The sequence below is a fragment of the Homo sapiens genome, chromosome 3, assembly GCF_000001405.40.
Source record: "Homo sapiens chromosome 3, GRCh38.p14 Primary Assembly".
Taxonomy (NCBI): domain Eukaryota; kingdom Metazoa; phylum Chordata; class Mammalia; order Primates; family Hominidae; genus Homo; species Homo sapiens.
In genome coordinates this window covers 34,090,655-34,115,518 of record NC_000003.12, presented here as the reverse complement: position 1 = coordinate 34,115,518, position 24,864 = coordinate 34,090,655, and the positions used below count along the sequence as shown (strand labels likewise).

Genomic DNA, 24,864 nt, shown 5'->3' with positions numbered 1-24,864 from the left:
CATCATTCTCATGGATGGATCACATGTTAGACTACAAAACAACTCTTAAAACATTCAAAAAACTGAAATAATACCAAACATCTTCTCTGAACACAGTGGAATAAAACTAGAAATCAATAACACAAGGAATTTTAGAAACTATACAAACACATGGAAAATAAACAATATGCTCTTGAATGACCAGTGAGTCAGTGAAAAAATTAAGAAGAAAATTAAAAATTTTCATGAAACAAATGATAATGTAAACACAACATACTAAAACCTATGGGCTATAAAGCAAAAGCAGTATTAAAAAGGAATTTTATAGCTGTAAGTAAAAAAATTTCAAATAAACAACCTAAGGGTGTGCATCTTGAAGAATTAGAAAAGCGAAAGCAAACCAAACTCAAAATCAGTAGAAGAAAAGAAATAATAAAGATTAGAGCAAAAATTAACAAAACTGAAAACAATACAAAGATCAATAAAATGAAAATTTGTTTATTTGACAAGATAAATAAAACTGACAAACCATCAGCCAAACTCATGAAGGAAAAAAGGGAGAAGACACAAATAAATAAAATCAGAGATGAAAAAGGAGACATTACAGGCAGTATCACAGAAATTCAAAGAATCATTAGAGGCTACCAAAAGTTACTAAATTTATGAGCCACTAAATTGGAAAATCTAGATGAAATGGATAAATTCCTAGACACATACAACCTACTAAGACTGAACCATGAAGAAATCCAAGACCTGAACAGACCAATAACAAGTAACGAAATTGAAGACATAATAAAAAGTCTCCCAGCAAAGAAAATGTTAGGCCATGATGGTTTCACTACTGCATTTTACCAAACATTTGAAGAACTAAGAAGGGTAATGGGTAGGGGAGTGTGGATGGTTAATGGGTTCAAAAATATAGTTAGATAGAAAGAATAATATCTAGTATTTGATAGCACAACAGAGTGACTACAGTCAACAATAGTTTATTGTACATTTAAAAATAACTAAAAAAGCATAATTGCATTTGTTTGTAACGCAAAGAAAGGATAAATGCTCAAAGTGATGGATACCTCATTTACCCTGATATGATTATTATGCATTGTATGCCTGTATCAAAATATCTCAAACACCCCATAAATGCACACACCTACTATGTGCTCACAAAAAAATAAAAATTTAAGAATCAGTAAATAAGAAAATAAAGCAAATTAAAAAAGAGTGTGGTCTCAGCAGAAGTCAGCTTTGCCATCTCCCATTGGGAGCTTGAATATGAGTTGCTCCACAGAATTCCCTTCCCTCAAAGTGCTGGCTTTTGTTCCCACATGCAAGTCAACCATTAGCTATGTACTCTCCCTCATAGAGTACTTCTCTGGAATTAATAAATCTTTAGCAACCAACACACATAGCAGCTGAGGACTGGCTTCACCAGCCTCCTAAAGAGAATCTGAGCAAGAAACCACAGCATCCACCAAACAGGCTGAGTGTGGAATTAAAAGGAAAGAAATGAAGAAGAAGAAAAAGAAAGGCATGATGTCTAAAAACAAAGAGCTACAAAAAAGAAAGAAAAACATGGAAGAAATGTGAGGGGAAAAAAAGAAAATACAAGGCAGTTTTTTATTTCCAAGGGCTAACAGAAGATATCCTTAAAGACAACATGCATAATACATTTAGATGTGAAAGAAACAAAATTTAAATGAATGAGAAAGGAATAGTTAGGTTAAGCTTCTTGGTGAAAGGGATGGTTTAGTCACCATGGTTTACAACGACCCTGCTGGGCACTGCACTGTGGCAAAATCTGGTATGTTCAAGGCAGCAAGAATGACCTTCCTCCAAAACAATGCTACTTTTCTCAGAACAGGGAGTGAGGGGTAGAGTAACAGTCCTGACCAACCCATTAGGCCACCTCTCCTAAAAGCTCTGGTTAAGAGCCAGCAAGATGAGATGAACTGCCCCCAGAACACTTGAGGTCAGGAGTCTGAGACAAGCCTGGCCAACATGGTGAAACCCCATCCCTACTAAAAATACAAAAATTAGTCTGGCATGGTGGCACATGCCTATAACCCCAGCTACTCAGGATGCTGAGGCAAGAGAATCACTTGAACTGGGAGGCAGAGGTTGCAGTGAGCCGAGATCACACCACTGCACTGCACTCCAGCCTAGGCAGCAAAGCAAGACTACATTGCAAAAAAAAAAAAAGAAAAGAAAAAAAATTATTGAGACTTCCTCCTCCCAACCAAGAAAAAAAAAACAAACACCTTCTAGAAATGAGAAACACTGACACCGGGTAAATTTATTCTGTCCTGGCCAAGCCTTGGAGCTGTCCAAGGGGAAACTTTGTTGAGAGTTAGACTATGCAGATCTGAGGATTAGAACATATGTGTAGGCTAGATTTGTAAGGTTGAGAGTTGCCTCCATATAGCTGGTCTGAAGATTTGGAAAATCACTTGGTAATTACGTATAGAGTGAGGAGAAAAGGCCCAGGAGCACTTTGTGTCACAGAAGCCAAGGTAAAAATGTTCCATGGATAATGAAATGGTTCACTGCATTGATTTCTGCTGCGTCTTATAACATGAGCACAGAAAATGTCACTGGACTTAGTGATGCAGAGGTCATTGAGGATCCTCGCAAGAGCTAGGCATGATGAGGACAGAGGCCAGACTGGAGTGGGTTGAGAAGTATAGATGGGAGGTGAAAAATGGAGACAGCAAGTACACAAAATGCTCTGCAAAGTTTGTATGTGGAGGAGAGAAGAGAAATAGGGCTATATTTGAAGAGGGACATGTGTTCAAAAAAATGGGGAAGAGTTTTCTATTTTAATTTTCAAACAGGAGAAATTTGAGTGTTTTAAATACTAATAAGAAGGATTCCTGAAGAGGAAGAATTTTAAGATTCAGGAGAGGGAAGGAATAAAAGATAGAATATGATTCAAGAGACAAAGGGGAAGGGTGAAACCCAGTGAGTCAAGAAACTGTCCTTAAACAAATCTTGATCTTGGGAGATCTGTCTGGGCTGGAACTGTGAATACAGAATGGATCGGCCGGGCGCGGTGGCTCACGCTTGTAATCCCAGCACTGTGGGAGGCCGAGGCAGGCGGATCACGAGGCCAGGAATTCGAGACTCAGCCTGGCCAACATGGCAAAACCCTATCTCTACTAAAAATACAAAAATTGGCCGGGCGTGGTGGTGGGTGCCTGTAACCCCAGCTACTCGGGAGGCTGAGGCAAGAGAATTGCTTGAACTCCGGAGGCGGAGGTTGCAGTGAGCCGAGATCTCACCACTGCACTCCAGCCTGGGTGAAAAGAGCAAGACTCTGTCTCAAAAAAAAAAAAAAAGAATGGATCCTAAAAGTTAATGACTTTTATAGAGAGTGGCTTCACCCATGGGAGCATGGAGAGAGAGAAGAGAATAGAGGCAACAGCCAAACAGTGGGAGGTGCCAATGCTTAAGCAGAGAGGAAGGGAGCCAACTGGGAGACTGAAAAACAATGCCCAAAGGGATCATAAGAGAGTGAAGCTCTGGTATCATGCAACCCCTCCTCACCTCATGTCTGATTCACCAAAAATAGCCTCCTGGCTGGTTCCCTAACTATTTAATCCATAATATAGTGTCCTCCAGTCTACCACCAACACAGTGAGGCAGAGGATTCCGGAGCAGTTAACACAGAACAGACATTTGATGGGTGAAAGTAACAACTTGAGTTTCCAATTACCTCTGCATTGACTTGCTTTGTAAACTTGGGCAAGACTTTTTTCTTTCAATTTCAGCTCTCCCATGTGTAAAATGAGGACAGCATTTTCTTTAATAACCTCATAGGGTTGTCCTAGGAATTACATGAGTTACTGACTGTGAGAGCATTCTAAAGACTTGTAAATCACAATACAGGTATGAGAAATTATTATTCATCTTGAATCACTATTTGCTTCCTAGTTCATCCTTTCTCAAATAGTTCCACTGGCTCTCTTTCCTGGCTGCCAGCAAGGTAATAGATGGCGCTGTCAGCACCCAAACACCACTGCCCGTTCCTTCTCAGGTCGTTCCGAATCTGAGTCACAGTTAAGCAAATGTAAAGCACTTTGCAGGTAGAGTTGGCAAGATGTGCTCCATTTGCTTTTTGGCCCAGTCCTTTAATTGCACTTCAAAGTAAACAGTGCACTATAGGGTGAAGATTGGATTATAATTTGGAAAAAGAAAGAAAAAAGGAAACTGAAATGGTTCCAGGGAAAAAGGCACATTACACAAACTTAAAATAATTAGGAATATATATGATTTCTTAAGGGCATTAAGAACTGGAGCCTGCTTGCTAGACAGACCCATCACATCCTATGCTCCTGTACCGGGATTTCATGACCCTCTGTGATGCAATCCCAACACTAGTTGCCATCACTTTCATGCACATTATTTAAGTCTCCCTCTTGCCCACCAACATGCCTATTTCTGCCTTCACACCATCCTTTATAAGATGCTTTGCAAGTGCAGACTCTCAGCACTTGTCTGCTCAATTGATATGCCCAGCTCAAGCCTCCTTTTATTCAGGAAGCCTGACCTCCTTTTCTGAAGTTCCCCAGAATTTGGAGCCCAAATGACAGTTTGACACATAACTGTAGTGTCTCCCTGACTCTGCCATTATTTCAAGTGAACTGGCCTTATCTCTCCAACTAATATCATTAACAAATGATATGTTCTGGATGCTTTATAGTCATTATCTTATTCAAGGTGCACATTCTCCGCATTTTACATATGAGGAAATTGAGTTTCACATAAGTAAATTATTTGCCCAAAGTTGGCAGGTGTTGAGGCCTACTGGTTATGACTGTAAAGTTCAGCCTCATATTTCTTTTTTATCTTTCTTGTAGTTCCTACCACAGTGCCAGTTACAGAGGAGACAATTGGGTATCTGGAGAAAAGAATGCCAGTGCAAAAAATGCTGCTGAAAGGAAAGAGGAAGACCCCAAAGATCAATATTCTATTTCAAAAGTCCCTCTAGTACAGAGCTTATCACCATATTCCTGTCCCTAGCACAATAATCCTAAACTGGATTCTCAAATAGTTTGGAGGGGAAATGATGATTTTCTTTTCTGTTCACCATTAGACAGTATTTAATTTGCCAATATTAATATATCTAATGTTATTTTTTAATCAAAGCAGACTGTGATTTTCATTTTAAACAGAACAATACTTTCTGTGTCTTAGCACTTTAGCCTACCAGAGTGTTATTTGTGTCACTGGGAACTAATATATGCAGATTCAACACAATTAGCCATCACCATGGTAATTTTATGCCTTTTGTTTTCAGCTTTTGTTGCATATGCTCATCAAAGATATTGAAGCTTTACTCATGAAATAAAATTCATTACCTGCCTTTGGATTTAAGTGCATCATATTTAAAGAAATGTTTTCAAATCCTGATGGCATTCCATTTCTGTCTTACTTCTCAGGGATAAATAAAACGTGCTGTCTAGAACCAAGCAAGCAGCTTTCACTTCCCCTTCCTTGAACTGGTACTAGCAGAGTCTCCTGCAAAACAGTCATGGCTTTCAGTGGAAACATAGGCCCCTGAGAGCTGGAAGATCCTTCAAAGCCTTCAGGGTACCTTCTATTTGCTTGAATGACTTCAACTGCCGCACATGTTTAAGCTGAGTCTTGCTTTCTACATCAAGCAAAAGGCTAGGTGCACAGCTATGGTAGACTGTCTGCAAAATGGCAGCCAGCAATCTGCCCATCCCAGTACATGCATGACACTCATTCCATCAACAGGTGGAGTCTATTTCCCCAATCTTCATTCCAGGCTGGCCCTGTAACTTGTTTCAACCAATAGCATATGGGCTAAAGCAATGTGGATTTTTGGTTTGCTGGTTTGTTTGTTTTGTTTAGAGACAGGGTGTTGCTCCATCACCCAGGCTAGAGTGCAGTGGTGTAATCATAGCTCACTGCAGCCTTGAACTTTTGGGCTCAAGGGATTCTTCTGCCTCAGCTTCCCAAGTAGCAAGGACTACAGGTGTGTGCTACCACACCAAGCTAATCTTTTCTGTGTAGACACAGGGTCTTGCTGTTGCCCAAGCTTGTCTCAAACTCCTGGCCTCAAGTAAACCTCCTGCCTCAGCCTCCCAAAGTGCTGGAATTACAGGTATGAGTCACTGCACCAAGCTGGCAGAAGTAATATTACACAAATTCTGTAATCTAAGCCTTAGAGACCTAACAGTTTCCATTTTCACACTTTTAGGATCCAGCAGCTGTGTTAAAAAAAAAAAAAACAATGAGGAACCATCTGGAGACAGTAAGCCCTAGCCAGCTGCCAGCCATTCTAGACACCTAACAAACTCTCTTTTGCTGGCTTTGATGAAGCAAGGTGATAAATTAAAGAGGACTGCATGACAAGAAACTGAGGGCAGCCTCTGGCCAACTGCCAACAAGAAACTGAGGCTCTCAGTATAACAGCTCAAAAGACTCTGAATCCTGCCATCAGTCACGTTAAGTGAGCTTGGAAGCAGACTTTTCCAGTTGAGCTTTCAGATGAGGACCCAGTCTTGGCTGGTCCTTTGATTATAGTCTCATGAGAGACCATGAAACAGAGGACCCAGTTAAACCAGGCCCAAATTTATGCCCCACAGAATCTGTAAGATAAGAAATATGTGCTCTTTTATGTCAGTAAGCACTAAATAATTAATGCAAGTATATTGGAGTTTGGGGGGTTCTTGCCTAGGTATCAGTAAAATACTACTTTGGATCCTATTCTGTTATTGTGTGTTTAACTTTCTTGAGAAACCAGTGGACATAAGAGGTGATGAAAAAGGAAAGATTTGGCCATCTGTGGATTCTAATATTTTCAAAACTACATCCTAATCGATATTAAATATTACCCATATTTTAGAGTTGAGAAAACAGAGGATCAGAGAGGTTGTTATTTACTCAAGTTTCTCACTTCTACCAGTCTTCTAAGTCCGAATACAGTGCTCCATCCACTCTAACATGGCTGCCAGAATCATATCATTGCTTCAGAATCATTAAGCACAGGCTCTGATTTCAATAATTAAAGTATAAGCAGTCCAAGGGTAGGGCCTACGTCAGAGATGTTTTTGTTCTCCATGGTAGCAGAGGGGTGGTGCTGGATGGTGCTAAGGCACAGGCTGCATTGCCTTCCTAGCACTCCCACAATCTCCATCTTCCAGACAAACTTCTCCAAGGCCACCTAGCAAGATCAATTACAGGAATCCTTCAATCACTATCCAAATAAAGCAGTTCAAATTGAGAGTGTTTTCTGAATATAAAATGATCCAGCTATTTAACATACATTATTTTATGATATTAATAAAATTGAGTGTTCTGAGAAATGCCTTTTAAGTGAACCCAGTCTAAGTCCAAGGTTGTAGAAAGCTTTTAGTTTAAATGAAAATCCACTGGAAATGTAAAACATGTCAGCATTGAGTATCGAAGCGATGTCCAGCAGAATGTGCAGGACCCAGAACCTAGTACCCTTAGTCCATGCATCACTGTGGTCCATTTTGTCCAGTAGAGCTAGATAAACTTCAAAGGCTTCTGGGTGGAGGCTACGGGAAGCAGGGTGGGAAGCACTAAAAACTGAAAGATAACAGCTGCTTGCCTGCAACTAAACTCAAGAAAGGCTACAAGGTAAAAAGAGGAAGAACCGGAATTTCTTTTTTAAGTAAGTTTGAAACTCAGCAATATGTGACTAGCTATGTGACTTTGGGCAAGTCACTCTCCCTCTCCGAATTTAGTTAGGCAGAGATGATAGTACTTACCTCACAAAGCTCTTGGAAAAGCAAGCAAAAAATAGTGGCCAACCATGCTCCGTGAGCTGTGAGATGCTATACATATGTGAGGTATTGTTATCACCCAGAGCAGCAGCTGCTGCTATAGCAGTAGTGATCAAAATAGCAGTGATAAAACAAGGTAATACTCCTTAGTGGAACATTTTATATTTTGCCCACAGTAATGGATGCTCTCTGATTTAACACTGCTTCCTAAGTATCAGACATGAGGCTGCATCAAGATCCAATCAGGGACAGAAATCACACCAGTTACTCAGACAGAGAAAAATTATTATAAAGAATTGCTATCTTGATATAACAGTATTAACTCAGTAACTGAGGTAGCAACTGCAGGAAGCATCTACTGCTCTAAGGTGAACAACATTCATAACTTGCCTAGGACTGAAGAGGTTGCCAGGATACTGGAATTTCAGTTCTCTAAAACCTAGAAAGTCCCAGGAAAACCAGATGAGTTGGTCACCCTATTCAATCCCTAGAGATGGCAGAACACTGGGAAGATATTGGAATTGTTAAAACTTCAGAAGATTGGAGGAGGAGGCCTTCAGAGATGGGACCTAGACCTCTGAGGAGCAGGTGGCAACTGGCTGGTGTCGATGGCTTCATGGAGTTTCCCCAGTGAGGTTGGTTCTGTGAATGCTGGAAAACCTACCAAGTGTATTCAGCTGCTGCTATGGGAATGAGCTGGCTCTGCTAAGGTGAGAAAGCATTGCCAGGGTACTGCACAGAACAGTAAGGAAACAGGAAGAAGCAAATTCCTTCACCCTCTTCTGCCCCCTACTGGCAAAGCTTAACAAGGAACCAGTGGGCAAGGCAGAAATGTGGTTTGCAGAGACCCAGCCCCAGCATCACCGAACAGAGTTCAGGATGTTGGGTTGGAGCTGAGAGATAATAGCTTTATAACTGGCACAGTTAGCAAACACATGTAGGGAAGAAAATATCTATGGTAAAGGATTTAATCAAAGAACTTGCCTTTTTAGAAATTTTTCCCAAACTCCTGAATTCGGTCTACCTAGGAACTCAGAAAGAAGGCAATTCATGCAAAATGCTCTTCTCTCAGCTCCTGCCCTCTGTCCCAAATGACAGTCGGGTCATTTCTCTCCCCTCCCACCATTGTGGCACCCACCAAGGAACAATCTAGGGTGCTAGCAGTCACAGCAGCAGCCCTGACTCTTGGTCATGTGTCCTGGCCTTCTTCCAAGGAGCCATGTAGTCTGCTTTGCAAACTTTTAGACAGCTGAGCTGAGAGGAGCATTAGGCAGCTTTAAAAATTGATATAGTTCATTATTCTTTTATGAGCCAATGCAAATCCAACAGCACAAGGCCAAAGGCATGCACATGGGAGCGGCTATATCACTCTGCCCCATTCCTTGCAGATTTGACTCCCTAAAAGAGGACAAAGAGAGGGCCCAACAAATACCAGACACCACTCACCACCAGAGGAGGCACACTAGACAATAGTAACAAATGCGTGCCCCATTCTTCTGGCTCAGGACAGACAGCAGCAGCCCCCTCATCCTCCTCACCCTGCACCACCCCTACATACACCCCCACCTTTGGTCCAGCAATGGGAGATGAGACAAATAGCCCATAGGTGCAACTCCCATCTCCATCTCTGCTGCCCTGACAGATGGAAAACCTTGTTCCAGGGGTTTCTGTTCACATCTTTCCCAATTTGCACATTATTTGGCCTTATTTTCTCCTTTCCCTGTTTCTGCCCTCTATTCTTCCCTTTTTCCATCTCTTCTATTTTCCTTACTATTTGCTTCATCTCTTTGTCTGTCCATCTTTCCCTTGCTCCCGGGTCCATCTTCCCTCATTCTGTTTGTCTTTTTTCTTTATGTTTGTACATATATCTGTTTACATGTGCGTGTGTGTGTGTTTGTGTGTGAGTGTGTGTTTGAGTGTCCCTGATGGCTTTCTGTCTCCTATGTCCTCTGTGCCTCTCCTCGGTCACCACTTCCAGCTCCAATTTTTCTGGGTAAAAGAAGAGCAAAGTGTTTCTGTGCTCTGGGGAGGGGAGTACTCAACTTTGTCCCCTTTCTGCCTCTGCCAACGCAAAGAGGGAGCTGGGGCAAAGATTAGTTCAATTCAAGATACAAATATTGAGTCCAAGCCATGTGCCAAACAATGAACCACAGATGCATGGTTCAGCTCAGTGCTTGTTTATTAAGATGCCAGGCCACATGCTCATCACCAGGGACTCAAGGAAGAATCAGATGGAGTATATGTGCCACAGACCCCATGGTCTGGTGAGGGGAGCAGACCTGTGAAAGATGCTACATTGAAGACATCTAAATCTTGCTGGGGAAGGGGAAAGAAGTCAGTCAAGAAAGGCTTCTTGGAGAAGGTGATGCTAAATCTCGAAGAATGTGTACATGTTAACTAGATGGAGAAGTGAGAGAAGGGCATCCGAGGTGGAAGGCATATCATGAGCAAGAGCATGGAAGAAAAACAAAAGAGCATGAGGTATACAGAGACCCACAGGCAGTGCAGGGCACTAGAGCACAAAGACTGATGGGAGTGAAGGGAGAAGGGGCTGGATGGCCAGCAAATACTTGGGTCATGCAGAGTCTTATGAGCCAGGCTGTAGAGGATGCTGCCAGCACCCCCCCCCTTCTCCTGGCCCATTTTCTCTCAGCACTCACTATTCTTCCCAAATTCATCTGCCACTTACTGCCTGAAGGCATTCTCTGGCCACTGGAGCTGCTCAGGCCCTCTGCAGGGCAGATCAGAGTGACAGGTAATTAACACTTCTGGGAACACACTCAAGCAATGACCAATGGGAGTTTTTATGGGGGAAACCTGGGTTACCCTTTGGGTAACATCACTGAGGCACGTTCTAAACTGCCTCTCAGAGGCACTCCTCAGGAATAAGCTCCTATTGCCCCTGTGATATTCTGTCACCAGCACACCCTATATTGGCTGCCTTTCCTTCCCTATCTCACATACCCACCCCCTCTCAAGTTTCCTTCATCTCCCAAATAAGCTACTTGCACTTGGTTCTTTGTCTTAGGGTCTGCTTCGGGTACAACCCGACCTAAGACTCAGGCTAATGCAGCGCCTTACAGGAATGAGGGAGCCCATGAACACCTAAGTAGAGGAGTGGCACAGTAAAATCTATATTTTAGAAGGACACTCTGGTGGTTCGTTTGGAGAACAGATATGAGGTTCAAGACAGAGGACAATGTAAAAGTCCAATACAGTCTAGGATAGAGATGGGGAGAGCTCAGTGGGATGATGATAGCAGAGGTAAAGAGCAAGGGTCAGGTTCAGAAACACAGAGAAAGAGAGGGGTTTAGGATCAACAAGTTGCAATCCCTTCCCCTAATGTGTCAACAGAGTCTCAGAATTTAGTGTAATGGAAACCAAGAAAAATGTGAGGTCCAGCACCAAGAGCCTCAGAACAAGTTGCCTAACCTAGAAAAAGGGTCCAGGAGGAGGTATCAAAGGCATCTTAAGGATGATAATGCCCAGGATGAGTTGTGAAGAATGAGTAAGCGTTAGGCTGGCAAGAAAGTAGGAAAGGGATTTTAGGAAGGAGAAAGTGTGACTGTTAAGGAAACAGGAATAGTCAAGGAGGTTGGGGTATAGAATGAAGCGGGAAGCCCCTAAAATGGGCATGCAGCAAATACCCCAGAAGCCCCCTTCTCTTACTTCTGGTGTTCTTCCTCTTCCTGAGTCCAAGCCTGCACTAGATTCTACATGGGACCAGGCCCTGTCTTGCAGGTTGAGTGCCAGGAACCCACAGGCAAGACCCCCAGAGAGGCCCAAGAAACTCCACCAGCCTTGTGTGAGTAGATGCATACCTGGGCCGTGGTGCTGAGTCCTCCCCACTTCTGAGTCCACTGTCTATCTGGTGGATCCCACTCCATCCCCCAGCCTACTGGGGCACAGGTGTACTTCACACAGCTTCTGATGGAGATGAGGAAGAAAATCCAAAAGGGAAACCCAAACAGTCCAAAATATTCAAGCAAACACATAAAACACTGTCCACCAAACCTTCCCTTACAGCTAAAATAGAGCAACACTAATTTATTGATTTGTCTCCCCAGTTTCTCTGCTCCACTTCTGTGGAAGTGGTAATGAACAAAAGAGGGCTAGGAAAGGGGAAAGCAGGGAAAACAGTAGGTGTCAGATAAGATAAGAGTGCAGAAATCACCCCCTAAAGGAAACTCCTCAGGGAGCACAATTAGTTTATCTTCCGCCTTCTTTTGATGTTCTACCAAATGGCTCTTCATGCTTTCACCAGCATTTGAAGAAGACTTGCTTCTGAGAAAGGAAGGAATCACCATCTGTGGACAGCTTAGCTGTTGTCCCTGAAAAGTGTCAACTCTGCAAAGCAGGTGTTATTATTCCTGTTTTACAGATGAGGAAACAGCCTCAGAAAGGTTCAAGAACGTGTCTGAGGCCACTCAACGTGTCAGGAGCAATCAGAATTCAAACTCAGATCTGACTGACTCAGTTATTCAATACTGTTTTTTACCTATAGGTAATTTACAAGAATAAATTTGATTTGCTGTGGGTTTGGGACATTCTTCACCATCTTTCTCACCCTCGGTTTAAAACATTGTTTAGTGGACATTTACAATTTTTAAAAAGTCTTTTGCTTTTAAAAATAAATTTTGTGAAGCACATCAAGAGGCATTCCTCACTTTATAAGAACAAAAAATCAGGTAGGGGTGTTTATTTAGATACATAGCTATATCTCCTAATGTCCTCCAAGAACAGGAATCCTCTAGAAATTTGTTCTAAATCCTTCGTTCTTCTCCTGATAGTATTCTAGGAGAAGTGTGATCTTTGAAGTCAGACGTGGTTAAGATCTTGGCTCCACTGCTTAATAACTATGTGAGACATTGAACAAATCACTTGCCCACTCTGAACCTCACCATCCTTGTGTGTAAATTTAGTGCCTCATACAGTTTGTTATGAGGATTAAATAAAATGACATCTTTATGGTGCCTGGAATATACATGAAAATCCTTAATCCCTTCCTGTTTTCTCCCTTCCACACAATTCTACCCTCCCTGGAAAATGTCACCACTTCCATGAGCCCACAACCTCAAAACAAGGATGACATATCTCTTTATTTGTTTTTCCATGAATTTGAGCTCGCTCTTCACTCAATCCTGCTTTACTCTGTGCCTAAATGTGTTTAAGGTGCATTCCCTTAAGTTCTATTTGAATTACATAATCTTGGGTAGCAGAAAATAAAAGCATATGTCAGCCTTATGTAAGGGGATTCCCCCTTGCAGAAATTGTTTGCATCGCCAAGGGACGCACAAAAGTATACGGTTCAGGAAATAAGCATGCTTGGCTTAAAATAGAAAATGAGTCATATAATTCTGCATCAAACAGTGAAGTTTAATTTGGGAATTGATTAAAACCTGCTTGACTAAGTCATATAAAGAAGTTGGGTCACTGAGATGCAACAATACTGAAATTAGGTCAATTAATAACCTTATAGTGGCATTGAAGTGTTCAAGTGAAAGGAACAATTGCACATCTCTCACTTTAAATCAAAAACTAGAAATAATTAAGCTTAGGAGGAAGGTACATCGAAAGCTAAGACAGGCCAAAAGCAAGGGCTTTTATACCAAACAGACAAGTTGTGAATGGACAGGAAAAGTTCTTGAAGAAAATTAAAGTTGTTACTCCGGTGAACACATGAATGACAAGAAAGTAAAACAGACTTATTGTTGATAGAGAGAAAGTTTTAGTAGTCTGGCTAGGTCAAATCAGCCACAACAATCCTTTAAGCCAAATCCTAATCTCCAGCACGGCCCTAACTCTCTTCAATTCTATGAAGGATGAGAGGGGAGAGGAAACTGCAGAAGAAATCTTTGAAGCTAGAAGAGGTTGGTTCATGAGGCTTAAGGAAAGAAGCCATCTTCATAACATAAAAGTCAAGGTGAAGCAGCAAGTGCTGATGTGAAAGCTGCAGCCAGTAATCCAGAAGATCTAGCTAAGACAATTCATACAGGTACTACACTGAACAACAGATTTTCAATGTAGATGGAACAGTTTTCTATTGGAAGAAGATGCCATCTAGTACTTTCATAGCTAGAGAGGAAATGTCAATGCCTGGCTTCAAAGTTTCAAAGGCTAGGCTGACCCTCTTGTTAGGGGTTGGTGAAGCTGGTGACTTTAAGTTGGAGCCAATGTTCATTTACCATTCTGAAAATCCTAGGGCCCTTAAGAGTTATGCTAAATCTACTCTTTCTGTGCTCTATGAATGGAAAAAAAAAAGCCTGGATGACAACACATCTGTTTACAGCAGGGTTTACTGAAGATTTTAAGCCCACTGTTGAGACTTACTGCTTAGGGGAAAAAAAAAAGATTCCTTTCAAAATATTACTGCTGATTGACAATGCACCTGCTCACCTAAGAGCTCTGATGAAGATATAAAAGATTAATATTGCTTTCATGCCTGCTAACACAACATTTGTTCTGCAGTCCATAAACCAAAGAGTAATTTCAAATTTCAAGTCTTATCATTTAAGAAATACATTTTGTGAGGCTATCACTGCCATAGTGATTCCTCTGATGGATCTGGGCAAAGTAAATCAAAAACCTTCTGGAAAGGATTGACCATTCTAGATGCCATTAAGAACATTCTTGATTAATAAGAAGAGGTCAAAATAACATTAACAGGAGTTTGGAATAAGTTCATTCCAGCTTTCATGGATGACTTTGAGGGGTTCAAGACTTCAGTGGAGGAAGTAACTGTAGTTGTGTTTGAATTAGCAAGAGAACTAGAATCTGAAGTAGACCCTAAGAATATGACCAAATTGCTGCAATCTCATGATAAAACTTGAATGGATGAGCTTTGCTTCTTATGTTTGAACAAAGAAAATAGTTTGAGATAGAATCTTCTCCTGGTGAAGATTATGTGAACATTATTGAAATGACAACAAAGCATTTAGAATATTATATAAACTTAGTTAATGCAGCAGAGGGGTTTGAGAAGATTGACTGCAATTTTGAAAGAAGTTCTACTATGGATGAAATGCTATCAAACAGCATTGCACACTACAGAAAACTATTTTGAGAAAGAGTCAATCTATGTGGCAAACTTCATTGCTGTTCTGTTTCAAGAAATTAACACAGCCTCCCCAACCTTCAGCAAGCAGCAACCTGATGACTCAGCAGCTACCAACATCGAGGCAAGACCCTCTACCATCAAGATGATCATGACTTGCTGAAGGCTCAGATGATCATTAGCATTTCTTAGCAATAAAGTGTTTTTTAATTCAGATATTTACATTGCTTTTTAGACATAATGCTATTGCACACTTAATAGAGTACAGTATAGTGTAAACATAACTTTTATATGCACTGGAAAGCCAAAAATTTTGTGTGACTCACATTATTGCAATATTTGCTTTATTGCAATGGTCTGTAACTGAACCCACAGTATCTCCAAAATATACCTGTATTTGAAAATAATGTCTTTCTTAGTTGTTTATTGCAATGTTCTACAAATGTTATTAAGCAGGATTTGTTAATTAAGCTTTCTAATCTTTTAATTTTAATTTTTTATTATACTTTAAGTTTTAGGGTACATGTGCACAACGTGCAGGTTAGTTACATATGTATACATGTGCCATGTTGCTGTGCTGCACCCGTTAACTCATCATTTAACATTAGGTATATCTCCTAATGTTATCCCTCCCCCCTCCCTCCACCAAACAACAGGCCCCAGTGTGTGATGGTCCCCTTTCTGTGTCCATGTGTTCTCATTGTTCAATTCCCACCTATGAGTGAAAACATGTGGTGTTTGGTTTTTTGTCCTTGTCATAGTTTGCTGAGAATGATGGTTTCCAGCTTCATCCATGTCCCTACAAAAGACATGAACTCATCCTTTTTTATGGCTGCATAGTATTCCATGGTGTATATATGCCACATTTTCTTAATCCAGTCTATCATTGTTGGACATTTCAGTTGGTTCCAAGTCTTTGCTATTGTGAATAGTGCCGCAGTAAACATGTGTGCATGTGTCTTTATAGCTGCATGATTTATAATCCTTTGGGTATATACCCAGTAATGGGATGGCTGAGTCAAATGGTATTTCTAATTCTAGATCCTTGAGGAATCGCCACACTGACTTCCACAATGGTTGAACTAGTTTACAGTCCCAGCAACAGTGTAAAAGTGTTCCTATTTCTCCACATCCTCTCCAGCACCTGTTGTTTCCTGACTTTTTAATGATTGCCATTCTAACTGGTGTGGGATGGTATCTCATTGTGGTCTTGATTTGCATTTCCCTGATGGCCAGTGATGATGAGCACTTTTTCATGTGTCTGTTGGCTGCATAAATGTCTTCTTTTGAGAAGTGTCTGTTCATACCATTCGCCCACTTTTTGATGGGGTTGTTTGTTTTTTTCTTGTAAATTTGTTTGAGTTCATTGTAGATTCTGGATATTAGCCCTTCGTCAGATGAGTAGATTGCAAAAATTTTCTCCCCTTCTGTAGGTTGCCTGTTCACTCTGATGGTAGTTTCCTTTGCTGTGCAGAAGCTCTTTAGTTTAATTAGATCCCATTTGTCAATTTTGGGTTTTGTTGCCATTGCTTTTGGTGTTTTAGACATGAAGTCCTTGCACATGCCTATGTCCTGAATGGTATTGCCTAGGTTTTCTTCTAGGGTTTTTATGGTTTTAGGTCTAACATTTAAGTCTTTAATCCATCTTGAATTAATTTTTGTCTAAGGTGTAAGGAAGGGATCCAGTTTTAGCTTTCTACATATGGCTAGCCAGTTTTCCCAGCACCATTTATTAAATAGGGAATCCTTTCCCCATTTCTTCTTTTTGTCAAGTTTGTCAAAGATCAGATAGCTGTAGATATGCGGCATTATTTCTGAGGGCTCTGTTCTGTTCCACTGGTCTATATCTCTGTTTTGGTATCAGTACCATGCTGTTTTGGTTACAGTAGCCTTGCAGTATAGTTTGAAGTCAGGTAGCGTGATGCCTCCAGCTTTCTTCTTTTGGCTTAGGATTGACTTGGCAATGCAGGCTCTTTTTTGGTTCCATATGAACTTTAAAGCAGTTTTTTCCAATTCTGTGAAAAAAGTCATTGGTAGCTTGATGGGGATGGCATTGAATCTATAATTACCTTGGGCAGTATGGTCATTTTCATGATATTGATTCTTCCTACCCATGAGCATGGAATGTTCTTCCATTTCTTTGTATCCTCTTTTATTTCATTGAGCAGTGGTTTCTAGTTCTCCTTAAGGAGGTCCTTCACATCCCTTGTAAATTGGATTCCTAGGTATTTTATTCTCTTTGAAGCAATTGTGAATGGGAGTTCACTCATGATTTGGCTCTCTGTTTGTCTGTTATTGGTGTATAAGAATGCTTGTGATTTTTACACATTGATTTTGTATCCTGAGACTTTGCTGAAGTTGCTTATCAGCTTAAGGAGATTTTGGGCTGAGACAATGGGGTTTTCTAGATAAACAATCATGTCATCTGCAAACAGGGACAATTTGACTTCCTCTTTTCCTAATTGAATACCCTTTATTTCCTTCTCCTGACTGATTGCCCTGGGCAGAACTTCCAACACTATGTTGAATAGGAGTGGTGAGAGAGGGCATCCCTGTCTTGTGCCAGTTTTCAAAGGGAATGCTTCCAGTTTTTGCCCAGTCAGTATGATACTGGCTGTGGGTTTGTCATAGATAGCTCTAATTATTTTGAGATATGTCCCATCAATACCTAATTTATTGAGAGTTTTTAGCATGAAGGGTTGTTGAATTTTGTCAAAGGCCTTTTCTGCATCTATTGAGATAATCATATAGTTTTTGTCATAGGTTCTGTTTATATGCTGGATTACATTTATTGATTTGTGTATATTGAACCAGCCTTGCATCCCAGGGATGAAGCCCACTTGATCATGGTGGATAAGTTTTTCCTGTGCTGCTGGATTCGGTTTGCCAGTATCTTATTGAGGATTTTTGCATCGATGTTCATCAGGGATATTGGTCTAAAATTCTCTTTTTTTGTTGTATCTCTGCCAGGCTTTGGTATCAGGATGATGCTGGCCTCATAAAATGAGTTAGGGAGGATTCCTTCTTTTTATATTGATTGGAATAGTTTCAGAAGGAATGGTACCAGCTCCTCCTTGTACCTTTGGTAGAATCCAGCTGTGAATCCATCTGGTCCTGGACTCTTTTTGATTGGTAAGCTATTAATTATTGCCTCAATTTCAGAGCCTGTTATTGGTCTATTCAGAGATTCAACTTCTTCCTGGTTTAGTCTTGGGAGGGTGTATGTGTCGAGGAATTTATCCATTTCTTCTAGATTTTCTAGTTTATTTGCGTAGAGGTGTTTATAGTATTCTCTTATGGTAGTTTGTATTTCTGTGGGATTGGTGGTGATATCCCCTTTACCATTTTTTATTGCGTCTATTTGATTATTCTCTCTTTTCTTCTTTATTAGTCTTGCTAGCAGTCTATCAATTTTGTTGATCCTTTCAAAAAACCAGCTCCTGCATTCACTGATTTTTTGAAGGGATTTTTATGTCTCTATTTCTTTCAGTTCTACTCTGATCTTAGTTATTTCTTGCCTTCTGCTAGCTTTTGAATGTGTTTGCTCTTGCTTTTCTAGTTCTTTTAATTGTGATGTTAGGGTGTCAATTTTGGATCTTTCCTGCTTTCTCTTGTGGGCATTTAGTGCTATAAATTTCCCTGTACACACTGCTTTGAATATGTCCCAGAGATTCTGGTATGTTGTGTCTTTGTTCTCATTGGTTTCAAAGAACATCTTTATTTCTGCCTTCATTTCATTATACACCCAGTAGTCATTCAGGAGCAGGTTGTTTAGTTTCCATGTAGTTGAGTGGTTTTGAGTGAGTTTCTTAATCCTGATTTCTAGTTTGATTGCACTGTGGTCTGAGAGACAGTTTGTTATAATTTCTGTTCTTTTACATTTGCTGAGGAGTGCTTTACTTCCAACTATGTGATCAATTTTGGAATAGGTGTGGTGTGGTGCTGAGAAGACTGTATATTCTGTTGATTTGGGGTGGAGAGTTCTGCAGATGTCTATCAGGTCTGCTTGGGGCAGAGCTGAGTTCAATTCCTGGATATCCTTGTTAACTTTCTGTCTGGTTGATCTGTCTAATGTTGACAGTGGGGTGCTAAAGTCTCCTATTATTATTGTGTGGGAGTCTAAGTCTCTTTGTATGTCTCTAAGGACTTGCTTTATGAATCTGGATGCTCCTGTATTGGGTGCATATATATTTAGGATAGTTAGCTCTTGTTGTTGAATTGATCCCTTTACCATTATGTAATGATCTTCTTTGTCTCTTTTGATCTTTGTTGGTTTAAAGTCTGTTTTATCAGAGACTAGGATTGCAACCCCTGCTTCTTTTTGTTTTCCATTTGTTTGATAGATCTTCCTCTATCCCTTTATTTTGAGCCTATGTGTGTCTCTGCACGTGAGATGGGTTTCCTGAATACAGCACACTGATTGGTCTTGACTCTTTAACCAATTTGCCAGTCTGTGTCTTTTAATTGGAGCATTTAGCCCATTTACATTTAAGGTTAATATTGTTATGTGTGAATTTGATCCTGTCATTATGATGTTAGCTGGTTATTTTGCTCATTAGTTGATGCAGTTTCTTCCTAGCATTGACGGTCTTTACAATTTGGCATGTTTTTGCAGTGGTGGGTGCCAGTTGTTCCTTTCCATGTTTAGTGCTTCCTTCAGGAGCTCTTGTAGGGGAAGCCTAGTGGTGACAAAATCTCTCAGCATTTGCTTGTCTGTAAAGTATTTTATTTCTCCTTCACTTATGAAGCTTCATTTGGCTGGACATGGAATTCTGGCTTGAAAATTCTTTTCTTTAAGAATGTTGAATATTGGACCCCACTCTCTTCTGGCTTGCAGAGTTTCTGCTGAGAGATCAGCTGATAGTCTGATGGGCTTCCCTTTGTGGGTAACCCAACCTTTCTCTCTGGCTGCCCTTAACATTTTTTCCTTCATTTCAACTTTGGTGAATCTGAAAATTATGTGTCTTGGAGTTGCTCTTCTCGAGGAGTATCTTTGTGGCATTCTCTGTATTTCCTGAATTTGAATGTTGGCCTGCCTTGCTAGATTGGGGAAGTTCTCCTGGATAATATCCTGCAGAGTGTTTTCCAACTTAGTTCCATTCTCCCTGTCACTTTCAGGTACACCAGTCAGATGTAGATTTGGTCTTTTCACATAGTGCCATATTTCTTGGAGACTTTGTTAGTTTCTTTTTATTCTTTTCTCTCTAAACTTCTCTTCTCGCTTCAGTTCATTCATTTGATCTTCCATCACTGATACCCTTTCTTCCAGTTGATCGAATTGGCTACTGAGGCTTGTGTGTTCATCACATAGTTCTCATGCGGTGGTTTTCAGCTCCATCAGGTCCTTTAAGGACTTCTCTGCATCGGTTATTCTAGTTAGCCATTTGTCTAATCCTTTTTCAAGGTTTTTAACTTCTTTGCCATGGGTTCGAACTTCCTCCTTTAGCTCAGAGTAGTTTGATCATCTGAAGCCTTCTTCTCTCAACTCATCAAAGTCGTTCTCCATCCAGCTTTGTTCCATTGCTGGTGAGGAGCTGTGTTCCTTTGGAGGAGGAGAGGTGCTCTGATTTTTAGAGTTTCCAGTTTTTCTGCTCTGTTTTCTTCCCCATCTTTGTGGTTTTATCTACCTTTGGTCTTTGATGACGGTGAAGTACAGATGGGGTTTTGGTGTGGATGTCCTTTCTGTTTGTTAGTTTTCCTTCTAATAGTCAAGACCCTCAGCTGCAGGTCTGTTGGAGTTTGCTAGAGGTCCACTCCAGATGCTGTTTGCCTGGGTATCACCAGCGGAGGCTGCAGAATAGTGGTTATTGGTGAACAGCAAATGTTGCTGTCTGATTGTTCCTCTGGAAGTTTTGTCTCAGAGGAGTACCCAGCCGTGTGTGGTGTCAGTCTGCCCCTACTGGGGGATGCCTCCCAGTTAGGCTACTCGGGGGTCAGGGACCCACTTGAGGAGGCAGTCTGTCCATTCTCAGATCTCCAGCTGCATGCTGGGAGAACCACTACCCTCTTCAAAGCTGTCAGACAGGGACATTTAAGTCTGCAGAGGTTTCTGCTGCCTTTTGTTTGGCTATGCCCTGTCCCCAGAGATGGAGTCTACAGAGGCAGGCAGGCCTCCTTGAGCTGTGGTGGGCACCACCCAGTTCGAGCTTCCCAGCTGGTTTGTTTACCTACTCAAGCCTCGGCAATGGCTGCTGCCCCTCCCCCAGCCTCGCTGCCGCCTTGCAGTTTGATTTCAGACTGCTGTGCTAGTAATGAGCGAGGCTCCATGGGCATAGGACCCTCCGAGCCACACACGGGATATAATCTCCTGGTGTGCCATTTGCTAAGACCATTGGAAAAGCACAGTATTAGTGTGGGAGTGACCCGATTTTCCAGCTGCCGTCTGTCACCCCTTTCTTTGACTAGGAAAGGGAATTCCCTGACCCCTTGCACTTCCTGGGTGAGGCAATGCCTCGCCCTGCTTCAGTTCATGCTTGGTGCACTGCCCTCACTGTCCTGCACCCATTTTCTGACACTCCCCAGTGAGATGAACCCGGTACCTCAGTTGGAAATGCAGAAATCACCCATCTTCCATGTCGCTCACGCTGGGAGCTGTAGACTGGAGCTGTTCCTATTCGGCCATCTGGCCAGTATCTAAAAAATACTCTCTAATCTTTTAATTCTTAGTTTTTTGTCATCTTGTTCTATATTTACTATGCAACATGTGTTGTCTCCCTTTATGACAATTGATTAGTCTAACTGATTAATATCTAGTATATATGTTTTAGAAACACTGCAACTCAACAAGACACACAACTGCATTAAAAAGTAAGTGAACTATTTCAGTAAACATTTCCCCAAGGAAGATACACAAATGGCCTGTAAGCACATAAAAAGGCACTCAAATACACCAATTATTTTAAAAATGCAAATCAAAACTACAATGAGATACTACTTCACATGAATTAGGATGTCTATTGTTTTAAAAAAAAAGTGGAAAATAGTTAAGTATTGGTGAGAATGTGAAGAAATTGGAACACTTGCGCCCTACTGATGAGAATGTAAAATGATAAAGTCACTGCACAATACAGTATAGTGGTTACCAAAAAAATTAAACATTAAATTATCATATGATCCAGAAATTCCACCCCTAAGTATATATTCAAAAGAAATGAAACCAGAGACTTGAACAGATATTTGTACACCAATGTTCATAGCAGCATTATTCACAATACCCAAAAATGGAAACAACTCAAATGTCTATCAATGAATGAACAGATAAACAAAATGTGTCATATACATACAAAGCAATATAGTTCAGCCTAAAAAAGAATAAAATTCTGATACATGCTACAATACAAATGAACCTTAAAAACGTTTTGCTAAGTGAAATAAGCCAGGCATGAAAGGAAAAATAGTATATGATGTCACTTAAATGAATTTCCTAGAATACTTGACTCATAGAGACAGAAAGTAGAATAGTAGTTACTGGCTAGGCATAGTTGCTCGCGCCCATAATCCCAACACTTTGGGAGGCTAAGCTGGGCAGATTGCTTGAGCCCACGAATTCAAGACCAGCCTGGACAACGTGAAGAAACCCTGTCTCTACAAAAAAAACAAAAAAAACAAAAAATTAGCCAGGCATGGGGGCACATGCCTGTAGTTCTAGTTACCTGGGAGGCTGAGGCAGAACAATCACTTAAGCCTGGGAAGGTCAAGGCTGCAGTGAACCATGATTACACCACTACACTCCAGCCTGAGTAACAAGGTAAGACCTTGTCTAAAAGCCGAGGCGGGCGGATCACAAGGTCAGGAGATTGAGACCATCCTGGCTAACACGGTGAAACCCCATCTCTACTAAAAATACAAAAAATTAGCTGGGCGCGGTGGTGGGTGCCTGTAGTCCCAGCTACTCAGGAGGCTGAGGCAGGAGAATGGCATGAACCCAGGAGGCGGAGCTTGCAGTGAACAGAGATCGCACCACTGCACTCCTGCCTGGGCGACAGAGCAAGACTCCATCTCAGAAAAAAAAAAAAAAAAATAGAACAGTAGTTACCAGGCATTGGAGGCAGTAGGAAATGAGGAGTGGCCTTATGTCTTATGGGTACAGACTTTTACTTTGAGATGATGAAAAAATTTCCAAATATGAATAGAGATGATGGTTGCACAACAATGTGAATGTTCTTAATGCCACTGAATTGTACATTTGAAAACAATTAAAATGATAAGTTTTATGTTACATGCACTTTACAAGAATTAAAACAAAGTATAATTTTAAAAAAAAAAAGTAGAGTCAAAGAAAATGAAATTCTCAGTAAAGGCACATTGTCCTTGGGTAAAAATGTGGTGGGAATGCTGGTCTCGCTTCTGTGGAGCAGAGGATTGTTTGCACTCTAAGAGGGCTGAGCCCCTAACAAGGGTGGGACTGCGGCTGGATACATGCAACTTGAGCAAAAAAAAAAAAGGCTTTGAGACCCCATTAAAACATAACTTCCCCCCAAACTGGCCAAAAATGAGGAATCTGGCAGCTTGCAGACTATAATCCATCAGGTCACTACATCGCCACCATGCTAACTATACCACTTTCCCAAACCTTGGGAACCCCTAAATTGAGCCAAGATTAGGAAATTAGGAAGAGTAGTGATTGGAAGTATTTCTACTGCTCTCTTTTTACCTGCACTACATAAATAAACAGGCTTTTTTCCTCTTCTCAGCTGAAGTCAGGTGGACCAGGCTGTCAATGGGAGCACATCTGAGACTGCGTGTAACTTAAGCCAACCTCAAGGTTGTTCCCCATCCTCTCCTGCACCAACTAAGCCCCTGTCAGTGGGCATCTCTGACTGTATGTCAAAGGCTGCTAAGCCTATCCCTCAAAGTGCAAACAAAGAAAAGGCTAGGAAAAGCCAACATCAAGAACAAGAAAAATGCCACTTTGGGAACCAGGGAGACCTGAGTTCAAGTCTCATTCTTGGAACCTCCTGGCTTGTAATCTTAGGCAAGTCACTTTGCCTTACAGTGATGAACTGTCCCTATTTCCCTGGACAAAGGGAATTCCCAGAATGCAGAAAAGCCCTAGGAAAACCAGGTTGCAATCAGCCTGCTGAATTTCTCTCAGTTTGCATTTGTCATCTGTAAACATGTAAGAAGACTTAACATGGATGGGGCTTGTGAAGACTAGAGGCCTTTTTAGTGCAGAAACACTCTGTAAATCCTAATTACTCTATCCTAGAGGCTCTTCTTCTTTTTTTTTTTAAATCAATTATGAGAGAAAGGAAAATAAGAAAGGAAAGCAAGAGAGATGGTGGAAGAAAGGAGGAATGGTGGGGAAAAGAGAGGGCAGAGGCACAGCCAACACCACCACCACAGAGTCCATCATTGTTAGGCCCTTTGAAACCCTGCAGGAATGTGGCATGGGCATTATGAGGATTTGTGAGGCTCATGGCAGAGTGACAGAATGAAAATGGATCATTCTCTGGATACTCAGCTCAGAAATCACCAGAAGCGATGCTCAGGGCTCTGTCTTTTCTGTGGCCTTTTCATCCTGCTCCCTAAATACTGAGAGGCTTCCCACTCTCCAGTGCCTGCTCCAGAGAATTGGCAGGAAGGCAAGTGCTGCATCCTGTCGGTTTTGCCAAACCTCCTGGAGTGGGAACCATTACAATGACACATCTAAGTCCAGGTGTCCTTGCAGATGACATCCACACAGCACGTTCTTGCTCCCTGCCCGTACCTGACAGGCATAAGTTTTTGCTGTAACTGCTTAATCTCCAGGCACTGTCAAGTGGGGATTTCAGCTGCTTCCTTTTGAAAGAGACTTAATTGTTGCTGCTACCTGAGTGTCAAGTGCATCTCCCTGAGCTGAAGGGATATGGGGGAAACTGCACTTGTTCAAACATAAAACAGGTTCCAGGCAAGTGAGGTGTCTCAACAGGGTCTCGGCAGTCAGAAAGGCAGTTTTTATAGTCCCCTCCAAGGGATGAAGTGGGCCCCCAACTTGGGTTCTGGATGCCAGGAATTTCAAGGAAAATGCTAGCAGGGATCTGGGGAAGATTACCAGAGACCAGAAGTCAAGAAACC

At 41.3% G+C, this 24,864-nt stretch overlaps 1 annotated feature.

The window, feature by feature from the left end:
• Positions 8,276-8,325: an enhancer, noted in NCBI's record as "active region_19654". NCBI's record gives its function as "activates an Ori minimal core promoter by ATAC-STARR-seq in GM12878 lymphoblastoid cells {active_cell/tissue: GM12878}" and the evidence as "EXISTENCE:reporter gene assay evidence [ECO:0000049][PMID:35858748]".